General features: G+C 47.8%; 1 protein-coding gene across 5 annotated transcripts, besides 1 other annotated feature; it reads right to left on the reverse strand.

Moving 5' to 3' along the window:
- Positions 787 to 11,617, reverse strand: PHB1 (prohibitin 1). Of its 5 annotated transcripts, none has more exons than NM_001281715.2 (8): positions 11,570 to 11,617; positions 10,977 to 11,068; positions 9,912 to 10,026; positions 8,413 to 8,574; positions 6,066 to 6,208; positions 5,777 to 5,893; positions 3,494 to 3,589; positions 787 to 1,939 (listed from the first exon to the last, which is right to left on the reverse strand). In NM_001281715.2, exons 3-8 carry the CDS (start codon positions 9,997 to 9,999, stop codon positions 1,727 to 1,729), a joined length of 819 nt encoding a protein of 272 aa, NP_001268644.1. In that variant the 5' UTR covers positions 10,000 to 10,026; positions 10,977 to 11,068; positions 11,570 to 11,617; the 3' UTR covers positions 787 to 1,726. The 5 variants fall into 5 exon arrangements, with proteins under 5 accessions (NP_001268644.1, XP_016880252.1, NP_002625.1 ...); XM_017024763.2 differs by having other exon boundaries at positions 11,475 to 11,617; NM_002634.4 differs by lacking the exon at positions 10,977 to 11,068.
- Positions 11,395 to 11,494: an enhancer, noted in NCBI's record as "active region_12361". NCBI's record gives its function as "activates an Ori minimal core promoter by ATAC-STARR-seq in GM12878 lymphoblastoid cells {active_cell/tissue: GM12878}" and the evidence as "EXISTENCE:reporter gene assay evidence [ECO:0000049][PMID:35858748]".

Here is an 18,063-nt window from a genome sequence, read left to right on the forward strand (position 1 = left end):
AAGCAAAGCAGAATAAGCAATACAAACCCACTGGCTGGGCGCAGTGGCTCACGCCTGTAATCCCAGCACTTTGGGAGGCCAAGGCTGGATCACTTGAGCCCAGGAGTTCAAAATCAGCCTGGGTAACATGGTGAGACCTGGTCTCTTATAAAAAATACAAAATTAGCCAAGCATAGTGGCACACACATGTAGTCCCAGATACTCAGGAAGCTAGGGCAGGAGGATCACTTGAGCCCAGGAGGTCAAGGCTGCAGTGAGCCATGTTCATGCCACTGCACTCTAGCCTGGGCAACAAAGTGTGACCCTGCCTCAAAAAAAAAAAAAAAAAAAAAAAAAAAAGAAAAGAAAAAAAGAAAGAAAGGAAAAGAAAACAAGAGAAAAAAAAAAACCTACTGCAGAGTGCCCCAAGCCATCTAACTGAGGGCTACCGGACACATTATTTACGTCAACCACTTCCCTAGCATTGGGGGAAGGTGTTGCTGGCAGTTGGCGGGCAGGCCTGTAACTCCCAGTGAGTAGTGGCACCAAAACACACAGAACAAGTTAACTGCCCTCCACCTACCTTCACTGCCTATCCCATGACAAACCTCACCTGCTACCACAGAGATTCCCTTCGGGTTGGGGATGGATCTGGAACACAACACAAAGTGTTTTCTGAAAACAAAGCATTTTCTGCCTTACTGGAGACTCTGTCCCAGCTGGCAATGCAAACATGTACACACAAAAACTGCTAGAACACTCTGTTCTGATCCCACGGCTCCCACAAACAAAAAACCAACCCATGGCTGAGCCGGAAGGTCTGGGTGTCATTTATTGACAGCAGTTTATACACATTTGTTTCCTTCCCAGTGCAGGCATAGAGCCCGTGAGAAGGGCAGTCTCTGAATGAGGGGGCCAGGAACGTAGGTCGGACACGTCTTTGGCAGGCATGTTCAGCCCCAGCAGGATGCAATCCTTCAAGTTGGAATTCCACTGGGTATCTGAGAGGGACCAAGGTGGGGGGTAGAGAGGAAGTCTTCAACAGGACTCACATCTCGGTCCAGGCCTCCTCTCTCACTATACAAGTCCATCCAAGTTTTAGGACCCTGGGGGGCAACAGTCAGGCCCACCCACCTCAACAGGGGCAGATTCTTCAATCTGTGCCCAGTTCACACACACCTGTTTCCGCTGGTCACACAGTTAAAGAGAATCAGACTTATGGTAACAGACAGACCACTTCCTCTCTGCCCCTCCCCGGCACCTCTCTTCAGCAGCATCTGCACAGGAACCGCTGGGAAGACGGAGGCCTGCCTTCTCAGTTCAGCCGCACATGCCCTCATCCGCAAACCTTCCATCAGTGACAGGACGGAGGCCACACGTGGATCTAGGCAGACACCTGTGCTCCCCAGTCCATCACATACTGCCCCGCCTGCGTGCTGCCAAATGCTGGTGCCCAGGCCGGAACTCCAGCAGGCCCCGAATTGGGACCTAAAGCTGGTTTGCATAGGCACTTGGCAATTTTTGGTAGGGAGGTGGATAAAAAAGTAGATGGATGTGAGAAGAATGAAAGAGTTTCATTTGATAGACTAATTAGAGATCTGAAGTGATTTTACCTTTATTTCCTTCACTTTAAGCCAATCATGAAATTTCACAGTGATTTCTGGGGTGGGAGCAGAAGGAAGGCTGTGTTAAGAATCATCGGGGCTGTGGCCCAGTCAGCCCGCGGAGGTGCAGGCAGGGTGGGCCCTCACTGGGGCAGCTGGAGGAGCACGGACTGCCCCGCTGGCAGGTAGGTGATGTTCCGAGAGCGTGAGAGCTGGTACGCGATGTCCTCTGCAGCTTCCAGCTTGCGCAGCTCGATCAGGCCATCCCCTGCAGTGGCCAGTGAGTTGGCAATCAGCTCAGCTGCCTTGGAGTCGCCCTCAGCAGAGATGATGGCCGCCTTTTTCTGTTGCTCAGCCTAAAAGAATGGAGGTGGAGACAAAGATCAAACCTCAGGGCACCGCATGTCAGGCTACAACCAAAGGCCCTTCACCAGAAAGCCACCTTCCCAGGCTCCTGAAGGAACTCGGGGAGTTTACTTCCTCCTGATGGCTAGCGGGGGAAGCGGGGGGAAGCAGAGCACATTGCCCACCAGTCCTCCCCTATCCTTTCATGCTCACTCCTTGTCACGGGAGGGATACATCTCTGTTGGCTGCAGGAATATTTGTCTTATTTCAAAGTCCTCATTAATATTAATTGCAATCTAGTTTAACAACCCTACTCTGAGCCAGGAGAAGCCAAGGCCAAGGAAAACAGAAGCAAAAGAAAGGTGGAATCAATCCTCAAGGCTCATCTTTTCCTCCAGCCTTAAGTCTAAAGGACTTCATCAAAGCCAGGACAGGGCCGGGTGTGGTGGCTCATGCCTGTAATCCTGGCACTTTGGGAGGCGGAGGCAGGAGGATCACTTGAGCCCAGGAGGCCAAGGCTGCAGTGAGCTATGATCATGCCATTGCACTCCAGCCTGGGCCACAGAGCTGTCACAAACAAACAAACAAACAAACAAACAAACAAAAAACCTCGGGATGGCTAAGGAAGAGCAGCATGCACTTTTGACTGTTCCTAGAGCTGCCTGTGAGTTAGGCTGGTTCCTGACCAGAATCCAGGCACCCAGAGTGAGATCTCCTAGGCTTGCCCTACCAATATCAATAGGAAGACAGCTCTCTGCAACGTGTGACCTTCAGGAGTGTGAGGAAGAAGACAGTATTAAGCCTCCCTGAAATTACATACAATTTTGAAATGACTGGGCCCTGCGTCTATTTGCTCAACAAACATTTACTGTATACCTACTATCACCAGGCACTGTACTAGACTTATTATAATCTCTGAAGTTATGGCAGATACAAAGCAACACAAGTCTCTGCCCACACAGTGTTTTCATTCTCCAAAATTAAATCTATCCCTCTTTTCCCATTTTATTTCTTGCTGTCCCCATCTCCCCACCAATTAGGGATACTGGTGGTGGGAAGAAGGGGACAACAATAAATGAACATGTCTTTGCAAATACCAGAAAGACCAGGCTGCTACGCAAATACACTGTGTCCCATCACATTCTTTGACACATCTGGATGGATTTAGCACTAGAAAAAAATCTAGTGACGAAAGCACATCTGGTGCAACGTTTGATCTTTTTTGCTGTCAGCTTTCACTATGTAACTATGGTTAAAAATGACTTCTCAGTGAAGCTGAAAATACTCCAGGAGAAACATTTTTATTTGTAAGAGAGTGTTTTTGATCTCAGAGAAGTGGAAGAAAAATTACCCTTCAGTGATTTAGGAACATAACTCCACATATCCTTGACTAGCCCCTGAAGACTCTGGAACCAATTGCAGAAGTACAATTCCTTCAAGCCCCTTCTGATTATCCCGGAAGAAGGGATGACAGATGATGAATTTCCAGGCCACCCAGCAAATGGGGAAGCTGAGTGCCGGAGAAAGGGGAGAGAGAGGCTCCTGCCATCTGGTCGAAGGCTCACCTTTTCCACCACAAATCTGGCCCTCTCTGCTTCCTGCTGAGCCACCTGTTTGGCTTCCACCGCTTCTGTGAACTCCTTCCCGAAGGTCAGATGTGTCTAAGGGGAGAGAGTGAGCACAAGATGAGGCAGTGTGATTGCTTCGACAGCACTGCTGGGAGGGCTCCATGGCCGCTGGAAGAAGAGGCCAGCAATGGCTCTAGCAGCTGGAGGCATCCGTGAGGCCAGAACACTCTTCCACCTCCGTATCTGTATCCAAACTGAGTTTACACCCAGACTCTCTGGCTGCCCAAACTGCTCCTGTATATTACTCTGTCACTCTCAGTACAGTGACCTCATGTAGCAAATGGCACCGGGGGCTTTTGATGGGGCCCACAGGCACCAGAAGGTATCTACTCAATCGACCACCTCCCCAGAGGAGGAGAACTGTGGGTTCTAAGACCCCCGCCACTGACTAGTGCTCTTCCAAGGGCCTTTGATGCCTTGTTCAAAGCCCAAGGAAGGCCAGATGGAAAACAGGGTCCCTGAGAGTGAGGGAGGCAGCTGGTTCCCAGGGATCCAAGAGCCTGATGCTCTCTGTTTATGGATTAACCAGTCCGCGTCTTCCCACAGCAGCTCCACCACTGAACAGGAAGAGGACGAGGGACGGTGGAACGCAAATCATGGTATTCCCAATGTGAATGGTTCTGTTAAACGGTTTAAAAGAAAGAGAAAGCAGGTAAAGTCATTGGTCGGCATGAGGGTTTAGAAGTCTGATGATCCATAGACCTTCCCTAATCATGTCAGGTCTGACGGGACTGTCCCTAAAGATAGCACAAACAATGGGAAGGGACCTCAGAATTCCTAATGCCCAGCCTAGAGCAATTTACTTATTCATCCTAATTTTTATTGAAAAAGAATCAAGAGAAGAGCATTGGTTTTGCCATCAAATTCTAGTTGTTTCATTTCCTCCACTCTCCCAACCTCTGCTTTTTAAAAAAGCAGCTCCAAACTTCTCCTGAAGAGTAAATCCTGGTCTCATTCTCTTCCAGAATTTTTAACCTCCTAACTCTAACTGCAGCTGTTGTACTTCGCCTGATCCATTTCTAGTTTCTTAGTCAAAGTTTGGGTAAGAAAATCTGATCCTGAGACATGAAAAATGAAATGTATAATTAAGGAATAAAATTTATTTCTACAAGGGCCAGCTGAGGGCAGCAAATTCCCCATGAAACCTAATTTTCTTCTCACACCTTAGATAGGGTTTCTTGTGGTCAGCCCACATTTCCCCAGAATGGAGTATGTGGTTAAAGTCTAGTAAAATGCCAACTTTTCCCTTAGGTTTTTACTCAGCGTTTTCTCACAGCCAAGGTGTTCAGGTTAACGGTAATTACGAGGGAAGGGCCCACAGAATGGCTGCAGCCTGGCCTCTTGCCAGCAGAGGGAGCCCCAAGCCCCCAGGACTTCCAGCAGGCGGAGCAAGGTGGAGCAGTGCCCAGGGGTTAGCACTGGGTGTTGTCAAGTGGCTGTTTAAACAGCTGCACAGATGCCGGGGGAGGCAGTGCCTTTCCCTAGCAATGCACGGGAGAACTGAACAGGAAACACTTTACCTCACTGCCCGAACAAATCACTCCAAATGGTTTTTCCCAGAGAATCTAGAAACACGACCCCTTCCCCTCACCCTCCTCAACCTGAAACGCTATCCTGCCTGCATTGCTTTCTGAGTTATGACATCCAATGTCATATAAACACACAAGCTATAGTGTCTCAAGAGGATAGCTTACGCCTCAGAGATGTCCCTTGCCCCCTATACCAGGCCTGGGGGAATCCAACCGTTCGTTTACACTCTATCACCTTTCACTGGGGTTCCCAGAGCTTACTTCACTGAGCTTCGGACTGTAAAGTGTTAGGAAGCTCCCAGGAGTCAGGCTGGGAGGTCTGTGCTAGGGAGAAGGACTACCCGAGCTGTTCTCTGGTCTCTACCAGGCAGTTTCTGCCTGTGTCAAACAGGGTTAACAAGGCATCACTCTCTGGGTAACAGTTTGGAGAAGGTAAAACATTTAGTGGTTAGAGACTATCTGGATACAACCAGAGGTCATAAGAAAAATGTGTGTGGCAGGGGGAAGGTAAAAGAACCCTCAACTGAAAAACCCACGGAGACTGCCTCACCTCAGCATGTTTCCGTGTTTTCAAGTCTCACATCTAGCAAAGCAGAAGGGAGGACCTAATAGCGTCTACCCAGAAATGGAGCCAGGCACCTAAACGAGAACTGCAGCCCCTTCCCCTCCTCGGTCTCCCGAAGGATCTTACCAAGGACACGTCATCCAGGATGAGCCCAAAGGTGGCGGCTCGCTCTGTAAGGTCGTCGCTCACCTGCCTGGAGACCAGCTCTCTCTGGGTGATTAGTTCTCCAGCATCAAAGCGAGCCTGGTTTCAAAGGGAGGAGCAGAAGGGCAGGTCAGGTTAATGAGGAAGCAGAAAAGGAACCAGGAAACTAGCAGCCACATCCCAACCAACCCACTGCCAAGCGCTTCCTGCCACCTGGCACCCTCCCAGGGTGGTGCTCTGGGCTCGAGGCTAAAGGCCCCTGTTCACTCACCACCACTGACTTGAGGATCTCAGTTGTGATGGACGGCAGCACACGCTCATCATAGTCCTCTCCGATGCTGGTGAAGATGCGAGGAAGCTGGCTGGCGACAGGCCGGAAGAGGATGCGCAGTGTGATGTTGACATTCTGTAAATCTTAGGGTAGGGGACAAACACTGGAGTTAAAAATAAAAACCACTGTAGGAAAACAAGTGTTTTTTTTTTGTTTTTTTTTTTTTTTGAGACAGGTTTTTGCTCTTGTTGCCTAGGCTGGAGTACAATGGGACAATCTCGGCTCACTACAACCTCTGCCTCCCAGATTCAAGCAATTCTCCTGCCTCAGCCTCCTGAGTAGCTGGGATTACAGGCACGCGCCGCCACACCCAGCTGTTTTGTATTTTTAGTAGAGACAGGGTGTCACCATGTTAGGCTGGTCTCAAACTCCTGACCTCAGGTGATCTACCTGCCTCAGCCTCCCAAAGTGCTGGGATTACAGGTGTGAGCCACCGCACCTGGCCACAAGTGGTCTTTTATATGACCTCTCCTACTCCAATTTGCTACAATTTTTATTTATGTATTTTGAGACAGGGTCACATGTTGCCCAGGCTGAAGTGCAGTGGTAAGATCACAGCTCACTGTAGCCGCTTTGACCTCCTGGGCTCAGTTGATCCTCCCACCTACACCTTCCAAGTAGCTGGGACTACACAGGCACAGACCACCACGCCCAGCTAATCTCTGTACTTTTTGTAGAGCTGGGGTTTCGCCATATTTCCCAGGCTGGTCTCAAACTCCTGGGCTCAAGTGATCCAACTGCCTCAGCCTCCCAAAATGCTAGAATTACAGGTGTGAGCCATTACGCCTGGCAATTTTTATTTTTTATTTTTAGAGACAAGGTCTTGCTATGTGGCCCAGGCTAGACTCAAGCTCCTGAGCTTAAGCATTTCTCCTGCCTCAGCCTCTTGAGTAGCTGACACGCACCACTGTGCCTGGCTCCAAATTTGCTACAATTTATAAGCAAATCTGCTGATTATAAGATCCCAGAGGGCAAGGTGCAGGTATGCCTGGTTTCCTTGGCAGAGAACCCAATAGAGCATCATAAAGAGTTTATAATTTCTTAAGAGGCTTCAGTGATAGCAGCTTTTTGGTATCCCCTGAATGCCCTCAGATATACATAATTCAGATTATATGTCTAACAGGTGCCATGCAAAGTTTGCAACACTGAACATTTTAAGACAATAGACAGGGCAATGCTAAGAATTGTAGGGTGAGGCCTTTACATGCTCTGGTGATTGTGGCCAAGTCAGGAGTCAGCCTTGGAGAGGTTAGTTCGGGTCTGGTGGAAACGGTGTTAGACTATCAGTCCAAAGATCTGGGCTATTTACTAATGATGTGGCCTCTCTAAGCCTTAGCCAACCTGAGCTTATTTCCCTGTCTATGAGAATGGGGACAATTTCATTTGCTTTCTGGGCCTTGCGGAAATGTTGGGGAAAATTGAAGGAGAAAACAGACGTAAAAGCACTCTGTCAAATGTGTAACACATATAAGGGGTTAACAGACTGATCCTATGTTCTGCTTCTCATTACTTGGACCATTTAAAGGATCCAGGGAGAGAATTATACTTTCCCCTGGACAATTCAGGCCTGCCTGGAGCCAAAGCACTGTCACGGCTTGCTTACAGATGTCAACAATATGGACCAAGCGCCCATGAGACAGCCCTGAACTGGGCACCAAGAGAGGTGGGCAATGTATTAATACCTACAACTCCCTGATCTCTGGAAGCTCCTATCAATAGTTTTAGAAATAGGTACATAATGTATCCTGAAAACAACTGCAAAACAGTACGGAAAGAAATTCCAAAGAGATGGGAAGATTAGAAGCAGGCTTTTTTTTTTTTTTTTTTTGAGACAGAGTCTCACTCTGTTGCCCAGGCTGCAGTGAAGTGGCACAATCTTAGCTCACTGCAACCTCCGCCCCCCAGGCTCAAGCAATTCTCCTGCCTCAGCCTCTCAAGTAGCTGGGATTACAGGCACCCCCCACCACCGGCTAATTTTTGTATTTTTAGGAGAGATGGGGTTTCACCACATTGGCCAGGCTGGTCTTGAACTCCTGACCTCAGGTGATCCACCTGCCTCAGCCTCCCAAAGTGCTGGGATTACAGGCATGAACCACCGCACCCAGCCATAAGTGGGTATTTCTAAGATTCCATATCAAGCTCTCCAGGGCAAGTAGTCTAGTCATTCCTATGATGTACAGTTCAAACTCTTTTGGATCCTGGTATCCCACAGATGCTCCTGTGACACAGAAGAACAGAGCACCTCTTCCACACTCCCTACTTTACCTGAACCATAGGCAAGACTCACCTTTGCTACCAGTGATGACTGGCACATTACGTGGTCGAGAACGGCAGTCAAAGATAATTGGTTTCTGTACCCACGGGATGAGAAAATGAGTCCCTTCCCCTACCACAATGTCCTGCACTCCACGGAATCGGTCAAAGATGACAGCTCTGTGCCCAGCATCCACTAGGAAGAAAGGACAATGACATGTCATAAAAATCCTCTCATCCTTTAAACAAAAGGATCATGTCTTTGAAAGAGCCCTGGTGCTTTCTGTTCACTTATTAAGTCTCCCCTCTTCTCTCTGTCTTCCCCAACTCCTGGTCTCTAGAGACTTCTAACTAGCTGCAAAACTAAGCAGTCACTTCCTGTTCCACATGTCCCCAAGGATTGGTAATAGGACCTGTTCCTTAGCATCCTTTCTCCTTGAGGGAACTGGCTGTTGATTTTCTGAATGACCATTCTATCCCTGAACTCCCACCAACATATTTCCAGGAATCATCTACCAAAACTTCTAAAACTCAGTGAGGTCTTCCCAGTTACCACATATCCATCGGGCTCCAATTTAACCTAGTGCTCCCAGAAGTAGCACCCTCATTATGGGAATCCTACATTTCGAAGAGCCTACTCTTTCTTCCTAATAGCTCTGTTTCGCTAAAGTTTTAAGGGGTTATAGAGCTGTCTTGGCACAGAGAGAAATTTATGATGGCAATTTCTGTCTAGTTGCAGATGTGGCCAAAAGGATCACAGTACTGCTAAGATGTGTCATATAAGCCAAGCAGGCTTTTCTAATCAGCTGCCTCTCTGAACTTTATCATTGGTCCAAATATCTTCACTCTGAAAGTAAAGCTCCTCTTGTCAGCCAGCCACACACCGGATGGGTCAATCTATTGCTGCTTTGCAGCATGTGAAAGTGTCAGAATGTCAGAATTAAAGGAGGTCCTACAGATAAAGTCAGGTCAAATCCATTGCTTGACCAATGAGGAAGCTTCCACAGTAAAGTGGAAGAAAAGCCAGCTTAACCTCCCTCCTACACTGTTAAAAGCTGGGCAATGCATCTCAAAGATACTTTCTCTGAAACTACCCGAATTCAGCACAGCAAAAGTTCCTGTTCAGGACAAGGTCACCCAAACAGATCTGCAGCCTTTGCTGTTATTCCACATGCAAGCAGAGGAGAACAAATGAGATCTCCATTTCAGATAGCCAGGGAAATCCAGACACTGTGCGGCAGCATTTGGGTGGTGCGGCTTCACTTCACCTTGACAGAAGCCACTGGACACATCCAACTAGGAAGTGGGCTGGGAAGCTCTTTTTGAATACAGGCTCTGAGAGAACCTATGACTGAAAGGTCAGGGGCTCTGATAACAATGCAGTCCTGTGGTATGAAATGGCAGGAGGTGAGCCCTCTTGGCCACAAACACATTCACTGACGGCAGCTACCATCAAGAGTGTCACATGGGCTATGCAGACCAACAGAAAACTCCTAGGAAAGTGCAGTGACCCACTGTCCCTCCATGCCTCACCATTATATAAGGCAGAGTTCACCACGCCTCCTGCAACAGCTAAGGCCAGGCCAAACTTGCCAATGGACTCAAACACTTTGGCAGCCATGTTTCCTTCTGCTGGACCCTCTCACACCTAAGGGGATAAAAACAAAATACAATCAAACTTGATGCCAAATCCTCAGAGAAGGCCCTCTCTGACACACAACAGTCACTTTTCAACCTGGCTATTTATTTCCCCATTCCTGAAAGTGCTAAATCATCCATTGAAGGATACCTAATAAATAATGCTTTATAGCTTGGAAAGTGTACTATCAATTCTTCTGCTTTTTTTTTTTTTCAGTTTCTTTTCTTTCCTTTTTTTTTTTTTGGAGACAGGGTCTTGCTCTGTCACCCAGGCTGGAGTGCAGTGGTGCAATCTCAGCTCACTGAAGCCTCGACCTCCCAGGCTCAAGCGATCTTCTCACCTCAACCTCCCAAGTAGCTGGGACCACAGAAGTGTGCCACCATGCCCGGCTAATTTTGTTCATTTTTTGCAGAGATGGGGTCTTGCTACGTTGCCCCAGGTGGTCTCAAACTCCTGGGCTCAAGTGATCCCCCTGCCTCGGCCTCCCAAGTGTTGGGATTACAGGCATGAGCCATCATGCCTGGCTGATTTCTCTTTTTTTCTCAACCATTTAAAGTAAGGTGTCTGGGACACTTGGTTCAATAATGAAAACAATGCATGGGCTTGAAATCCACAGAGAACTTAGCACCACACTAAACCACCCTCTCATTTCCTGGACAAGTAGGCCCCCAAAAAGAGGCTGTGAGGTTAGATTGGTGCAATTATGGTTTGAAAAAAATAACTTAAAAAATGTGCTACATGTTGATGCCAACAAAAAAAGTAACCGTAACAGCTAACACTTATATCAGGTAGCCTAATAAAAGCAATTTATTTACTTCTCACAATTACCCTATGAAGCATATTACTACAGAGGAAACAGAGGCACACAGAGAGGTTACATGAGAAGCCGAGATTGCAGTTATTAAGTGGTAGAACCAGAATTAGAACCCAGAGGTCTAATGCTAGCAGACACAGCTTACCTCCTCACCATACTGCTTGTCAACATCGTGTATTAAGAACGACATGCTTCTTATGGAAGCAGGAGCTGGATGACATCCTGGGGCCAAGATAACTGAAGAACCCATTTGGGAGAAAGGCTCTAACTAGCTGCACAGGGACAGTGAGCTCTGGAATAACTGGGAGGGTGGGGCTGAGGCGGGGTGGGCATAAGCACAGTTGACCTAACTAGAAATCACGCCAGCATGTAACTTTCTAACGCTCCGCCCCACCGTCGTTGCCCGCTCCAGTCTCAAATCCTCCCTCCCTACTTCCCAGACCTCAACTCCTGAGACTACCCTGATCTCGTCCAGTGCATTTAAATCTTCCTTCTCTGAGGCTGGGACACCCGGCCCTTTACATTTGTAATAGCTTCTGGATTATTCCTCACCCTGCCTCCATGGACACCTCCCTTACTCTGAGCAACCCCTGGCTCGTCCCGGGCTCAGCCCCTTCTCCCCTCCCTCACAAGTCGGACTCACGCACGCACTCTCCTCGCCCAAAGTGCACATCATGGAGCAGAGGAGGACTGCAGAGATGCCCAGAAACGAGCCTTTGCCGCCCCCTCCATTCTCACCTGCTTCCACTCTGACCTCCACATGAATTCCCCAACCACACATACTGCGCATGAGCTCCTCTGCCCCGCCCGCTTTCCAAGATCCACGCTTCCTATTGGTGTGGAAGAGCGCTGTGAGTTCTGGGAAGGGTGGCTTAGAACCTCACCCTGGTTCTGCGGCTCTTAGCAGATGAACTACAACTCCCAAAAGGCTATGCAGCGGCGGGCCCGCGGAGAAAAGCGTTTTCTCTTTGGTGATCAACGCGAGGATGTTGCCGCAAAGCCTTTTGGGGGCTGTAGTTTTCTGGGGCTAAATGCACGTGCCTATCCTGTACAGAGGCTAAGACTGCCGCAAGGAGAGCCTTAGGGCTCCGGGAAAGAGGAGGTGGGCGTCCAGCTGGTGGCAAAAATTAGTAGGGGCAAGTTCATGGCTGATGAAGAGGACAGGTGGAACTCTGGAGGAAGTCGTGGTGAAATCACCGGCAGGCTGAGACCCTTTGGGGGAAACGAAGGGCCGTCTTCCTTCCAAAGCCCTGTCTGCAAACGTCCTCAGAGTTGTGAGACGTTGATTACCAGACCCAGAGAGAACCATCTGTGCTGAAAAACTGAGACCAACCGAGAGGAAGGAATTCATTCAGGGTCATGCACCGAGTGAGAAAAGGGGCTCGGCTTGGAATCCAGGTCCCCTAGACATGATTTTAGAGAAACGTTTTATTTGGAAAAGTTGCAAGAATAGGGCAAAAGAACGCACGTTAAACTTTGGCTCAGATTCACCTATTGTTAACAATTTGCTTCATTTGTTTTATCATTTGTTTCTTACCTCTCCCCTCCTCCTCCCTGCCGCCACTCCGCCGCCCCACCTCCGTGTGCGTGTGTGTTTATTTTCTTGTTTTTGTTTTGTTTTGTTGTTTGTTTTTGAGATGGAGTTTCGCTTTTGTTGCCCAGGCTGGAGTGCAGTGGCGCGATCTCGGCTCACCGCAACCTCCGCCTCCCGGGTTCAAGCGATTCTCCTGCCTCACCCTCCCAGAATAGCTGAGATTACAGGCATGCACCACCACACCCGGCTAATTTTTTATTTTTGTAGAGACGGGGTTTCTCCATGTTGGTCAGGCTGGTCTCGAACTCCCGACCTAGGTGATCCACCCGCCTCGGCCTCCCAAAGTGGTGGGATTACAGGCATGAGCCACCGCGCTCAGCTCTCATTCTAGTTTTTACCTCTATAAGATCAACTCTTTTAGCCCCCACATAGGAATAAGAACGTGAGGGCTGGGCGTGGTGGTCACGCCTGTAATCCCAGCACTTCGGGAGGCCAAGGACAGAGGATTGCTTTAGCCTAGGAGTTTGAGACTAGCCTGGGCAACAAATTGAAACCCTGTCTCTACAAAAATAAAAATAAAAAGTACCTGGATGTGGTGGCATGTACCTGTAGTTCCACCTATTCGGGAGCCAAGGTGGGAGGATTGCTTGAGCCTGGGAGGTCAAGGTTGCAGTGAGCTGTGACTGTGCCACTGCACTGCAGCCTGGGTGACAGAGCGAGACCTTGTCTCAAAAAAAAAAAAAAAAAAAAAAAAAGTATGGTCATTTTTAACAATATTAATTCTTCCAATCCACCAATCCATGAACACGAGATGTCTTTCCATTTGTTTGTGTCCTCTTCAGTTTCTTTCATCAGTGTTTTGTAGTTTTTATTGTAGAGGTCTTTTTCCTCCTTGATTAAATTTTTTCCTAGGTAGTAGGGTTGCTTTCTTGATTTCTCTTTCAGCTAATTCCTTATTGGTGTACAGAAATGCTAGTTTTTGTATAATGATTTTTTATCCTGCAACTTTACTGAATGTATCAGTTATAAGAGATTTTTGGTGAAATCTTTAGATTTTTCTATATACTAGGTATCATGTCATCTTCAAAGGGGGCAATTTGATTTTTTTTTTTTTTAAGACTACTCAAGTGCAGTAGTGAGAAGTGGGGAAAGAGTAGAACAAGGAGTTCAATCTGTAACTTACTGTGAGATTGAGATAACTCACTACATTCGCACTGGCCTGACTTCCTTTTTTCCAATTTGGATGCCTTTTATTTCTTTCTCTTGCCTGGTTGCTCTGGCTAAGACTTCAGTACTATGTGGATTAAGAGTGATGAAAGTGGGCCGGGCGCGGTGGCTCACGCCTGTAATCCCAGCACTTTGAGGCCAAGGTGGGCGGATCTCCTGAGGTCGGGAGTTCAAGACCAGCCTGACCAACATGGAGAAACCCCGTTTCTACTAAAAGTACAAAAAAAATTAGCCGGGCATGGTGGCGCATGCCTGTAATCCCATCTACTCGGGAGGCTGAGATAGGAGAAATGCTTGAATCCGAGAGGCAGAAGTTACCGTGAGCCGAGATCACGCCATTGCACCCCAGCCTGGGCAACAAGAGCACAACTCCATCTCAAATAAATAAATAAATAAATAAATAAGTAATGAAAGTGGGCATCTTTGCCTTCTTCTAGTTCTTAGAAGAAAGGCATTCCTCTATTCCCCCATTCAATATGATGATAGCTGTGGGTTTGTCATTTATGGAGTTTATTATGTTGAGATATGTTTCTTCTATGCCTAATTTGTTGAGAATATTTATCACGAAGGATGTTTAATTTTATCAAGTGCTTTTTCTGCATCTATTGAGATGATCATATGGTTTTTGTCCTTCATTCTGCTGATGTGATGTATCCGCGGTTATTGATTTATGTATGTTGAACCGTCTTTGCATTTCTGGAATAAATCCCACTTGATCATGGTGTATTATCCTTTTGATGTGCTGTTGGATTTTGTTTACTAGTATTTAGTTGAGGATTTTTGCATCGATGTTCATCAAGGATATTGGCCTGCTGTTTTCTTTTTTTGTTGTGTTTTTGTCTGATTTTGGTGTCAGGGTAATTCTGGCCTTATAGAATGAGTTAGGAAGAATTTCTTCCTCTTCAGTTTTTTTGGAATAGTTTGAGAAAATTGGTATTATTTCTTCTTTATAAGTTTGGTAGAATTTAGCAGTGAAGCCATCTGTTCCTGGGCTTTTCTGTTTTGGGAGACTTTTTATCACTAATTCAATTTCATCACTCGTCATGGGTCTTTTCAAGTTTTCTGTTTCTTCCTGGTTCAATATTTGTAGGTTGTATGTGTCCAGTTATCCATTTTCTCTAGGTTTTCCAATTTTTTCATGTGTAGTTGTTCATAATAGTCTCTGATGAATTATTGTATGTCTCTGGAAACAGTTGTAATGTCTCATTTTTTATTTCTGATTTTATTTATTTGGGTCTCCTCTCTTTTCTTCTTGTTGAGTCTAACTAGCAGTTTATTGATTTTGTTTATCCATTGAAACAAACAATGTCTAATTTCATTGATTAAATTTTTTTCACTCTCTGTTTTGTTTTGCTATGCTGTAATCGTTATTATTCTTTTCCTTCTCCTAATTTTGGGTTTGGTTTGTTCTTGCTTTTCTAGTTCCTTGCGGAGCATTGTTAGGTTGTTTATTTGAAAACTTTCTAGTTTTTTGATGTAGGTGCTTATTGCTATCAATGTCTGTCTTAGCACTGCTTCTGTTGTATCCTATATATTTTGGTATGTTGTGTTTCCATTTTCTTTTCTTTTCTTTTTTCTTTTTTTTTTTGAGATGGAGTTTTGCTCTTGCTGCCCAGGCTTGAGTACAATGGCGTGATCTTGGCTCACCGCAACCTCCGCCTCCCGGGTTCAAGCCATTCTCCTGCCTCAGCCTCCTGAGTAGCTGTGATTACAGGCATGCACCACCATGCCTGGCTAATTTTGTATTTTTAGTAGAGACAGGGTTCCTCCATGTTGGTCAGGCTGGTCTCAAACTCCCAGTCTCAGGTGATCCGCCCACTTCAGCCTCCCAAAGTACTGAGATTACAGGCATGAGCCACAGCACCCGGCCTGTGTTTCCATTTTCATTTGTTTCAATAAATTTTTTTTTTGATGTTTTACCCAATAATGATTCTTTTCTTTCTTTTTTTTTTTTTTTTTTTTTTTTTTTTTAGTATTTATTGATCATTCTTGGGTGTTTCTCGGAGAGGGGGATGTGGTGGGGTCATAGGATAATAGTGGAGAGAAGGTCAGCAGATAAACACGTGAACAAAGGTCTCTGGTTTTCCTAGGCAGAAGTCCCCGTGGCCTTCCGGCCTTCCGCAGTGTTTGTGTCCCTGGGTACTTGAGATTAGGCAGTGGTGATGACTCTTAACGAGCATGCTGCCTTCAAGCATCTGTTTAACAAAGCACATCTTGCACTGCCCTTAATCCATTTAACCCTGAGTTGACACAGCACATGTTTCAGAGAGCACGGGGTTGGGGGTAAGGTTATAGATTAACAGCATCCCAAGGCAGAAGAATTTTTCTTAGTACAGAACAAAATGGAGTCTATGTCTACTTCTTTCTACACAGACACAGTAACAATCTTATCTCTCTTTCTTTTCCCCACATTTCCCCCTTTTCTTTTTGACAAAACTGCCATCGTCATCATGGCCCGTTCTCGATGGTCGCTGTCTATTCGGAGCTGTTGGGTACACCTGCAGAAAGGCTGTCACTTCACACTTGGAAGATTGCACAGCGGCCAGGCAGAGGCGCTTCTCACTTCCCAGACAGGGCAGCCGGGCAGAGGCGCTCCTCATTTCCCAGATGGGGCGGCCGGGCAGAGGCGCTCCTCACTTCCCAGATGGGGTGGCCGGGCAGAGGCGCTCCTCACTTCCCAGACGAAGGGTGGCCGGGCAGAGGTGCTCCTCACATCCCAGATGGGGTGGCCAGGCAGAGGCGCTCCCCACTTCCCAGATGGGGTGGTGGCCGGGCAGAGGCGCTCCTCACATCCCAGATGGGGCGGCCGGGCAGAGGCGCTCCTCACCTCCCAGATGGGGCGGCTGGGCAGAGGCGCTCCCCACTTCCCAGATGGGGTTGCGGCCGGGCAGAGGCACTCCTCACATCCCAGACGGGGCGGCCGGGCAGAGGCGCTCCCCACTTCCCAGATGGGGTGGCGGCCGGGCAGAGGCGCTCCTCACATCCCAGATGGGGCGGCCGGGCAGAGGCTCTCCTCACTTCCCAGACGACGGGCGGCCAGGCAGAGGTGCTCCTCACCTCCCAGGCGGGCCAGCCGGGCAGAGGCGCTCCTCACTTCCCAGATGGGGCGGCCAGGCAGAGGGGCTCCTCACATCCCAGACGATGGGCAGCCAGGCAGAGAGGCTCCTCGCTTCCTAGACGGGGTGGTGGCCGGGCAGAGGCTGTAACCTTAGCACTTTGGGAGGCCAAGGCAGGTGGCTGGGAGGTGAAGGTTGTAGCGAGCCGAGATCACGCCATTGCACTCCAGCCTGGGCAACATTGAGCATTGAGTGAGCAAGACTCCGTCTGCAATCCCAGCACCTCGGGAGGCCGAGGCGGGCAGATCACTCAAGGTCAGGAGCTGGAGACCAGCCCGGCCAACAGGGCGAAACCCCGTCTCCACCAAAAATACAAAAACCAGTCAGGCGTGGGGGTGCGTGCCTGCAATCCCAGGCACTCGGCAGGCCGAGGCAGGAGAATCACGGGAGCCCGAGGCAGGGAGGTTGCAGCGAGCCGAGATCACGGCAGTACAGTCCAGCCTCGGCAACAGAGGGAGACCGTCAAAAGAAAGAAAGAGAGAAAGAGAGAAGGAAAGGAAGAAAAGGAAGGAAGGAAGGAAGGAAGGAAGCAAGCAAGCAAGCAAGCAAGCAAGCAAGCAAGACATTTTTTGATATCCTTCTTAATTTGTTCATTGACCCAATGGTCATTTAAGAGTATGTTGTTGGCCAGGCGCGATGGCTCATGCCTATAATCCCAGCAGTTTGGGAGGCTGACATGGGTGGATCACTTGAGGTCAGGAGTTCAAGGACAGCCTGGCCAATGTGGCGAAACCCCACTCTATTAAAAATACAAAAATTAGCCAGTTGTGGTGGTGCACACCTGTAATCCCAGCTACTGGGGAGGCTGAGGCAGGAGAATCACTTGAACCCAGGAGGTGGAGATTGCAGTGAGCCGAGATTGCACCACTATTCCAGCTTGGGCAACAGAGTGAGACTCTGTCAATAAATAAATAAATTAATTAATTAATTAAATAAAAAATGGGCCAGGCATGCTGGTTCATGCCTGTAATCCCAGCACTTTGGGAGGCCAAGGCTGGTGGATCACCTGAGGTTGGGAGTTCAAGTCCAGCCTGACCAACATGGAGAAACCCTGTCTTTACTAAAAACACAAAATTAGCCGGGCATGGTGGTGCATGCCTGTAATCCCAGCTACTCGGGAGGGTGAGGCAGGAGAATGGCTTGAATCCTGGAGGCAGATGTTGTGGTGAGCTGAGATCACACCATCGCACTCCAGCCTGGGCAACAAGAAGGAAACTCCATCTCAAAAAAAAAAAAAAAAAAAAAAAAAAAGTATGTTGTTTAATTTCCATGTGTTTTTACAGTTTCCAAAGTTTCTCCTTTTATTGAGAAGATACTTGATATGATTTTGATTTTTTAAAAATTTCTAAGACTTG

This window comes from Homo sapiens, chromosome 17 (assembly GCF_000001405.40).
Source record: "Homo sapiens chromosome 17, GRCh38.p14 Primary Assembly".
Classification (NCBI taxonomy): Eukaryota; Metazoa; Chordata; class Mammalia; order Primates; family Hominidae; genus Homo; species Homo sapiens.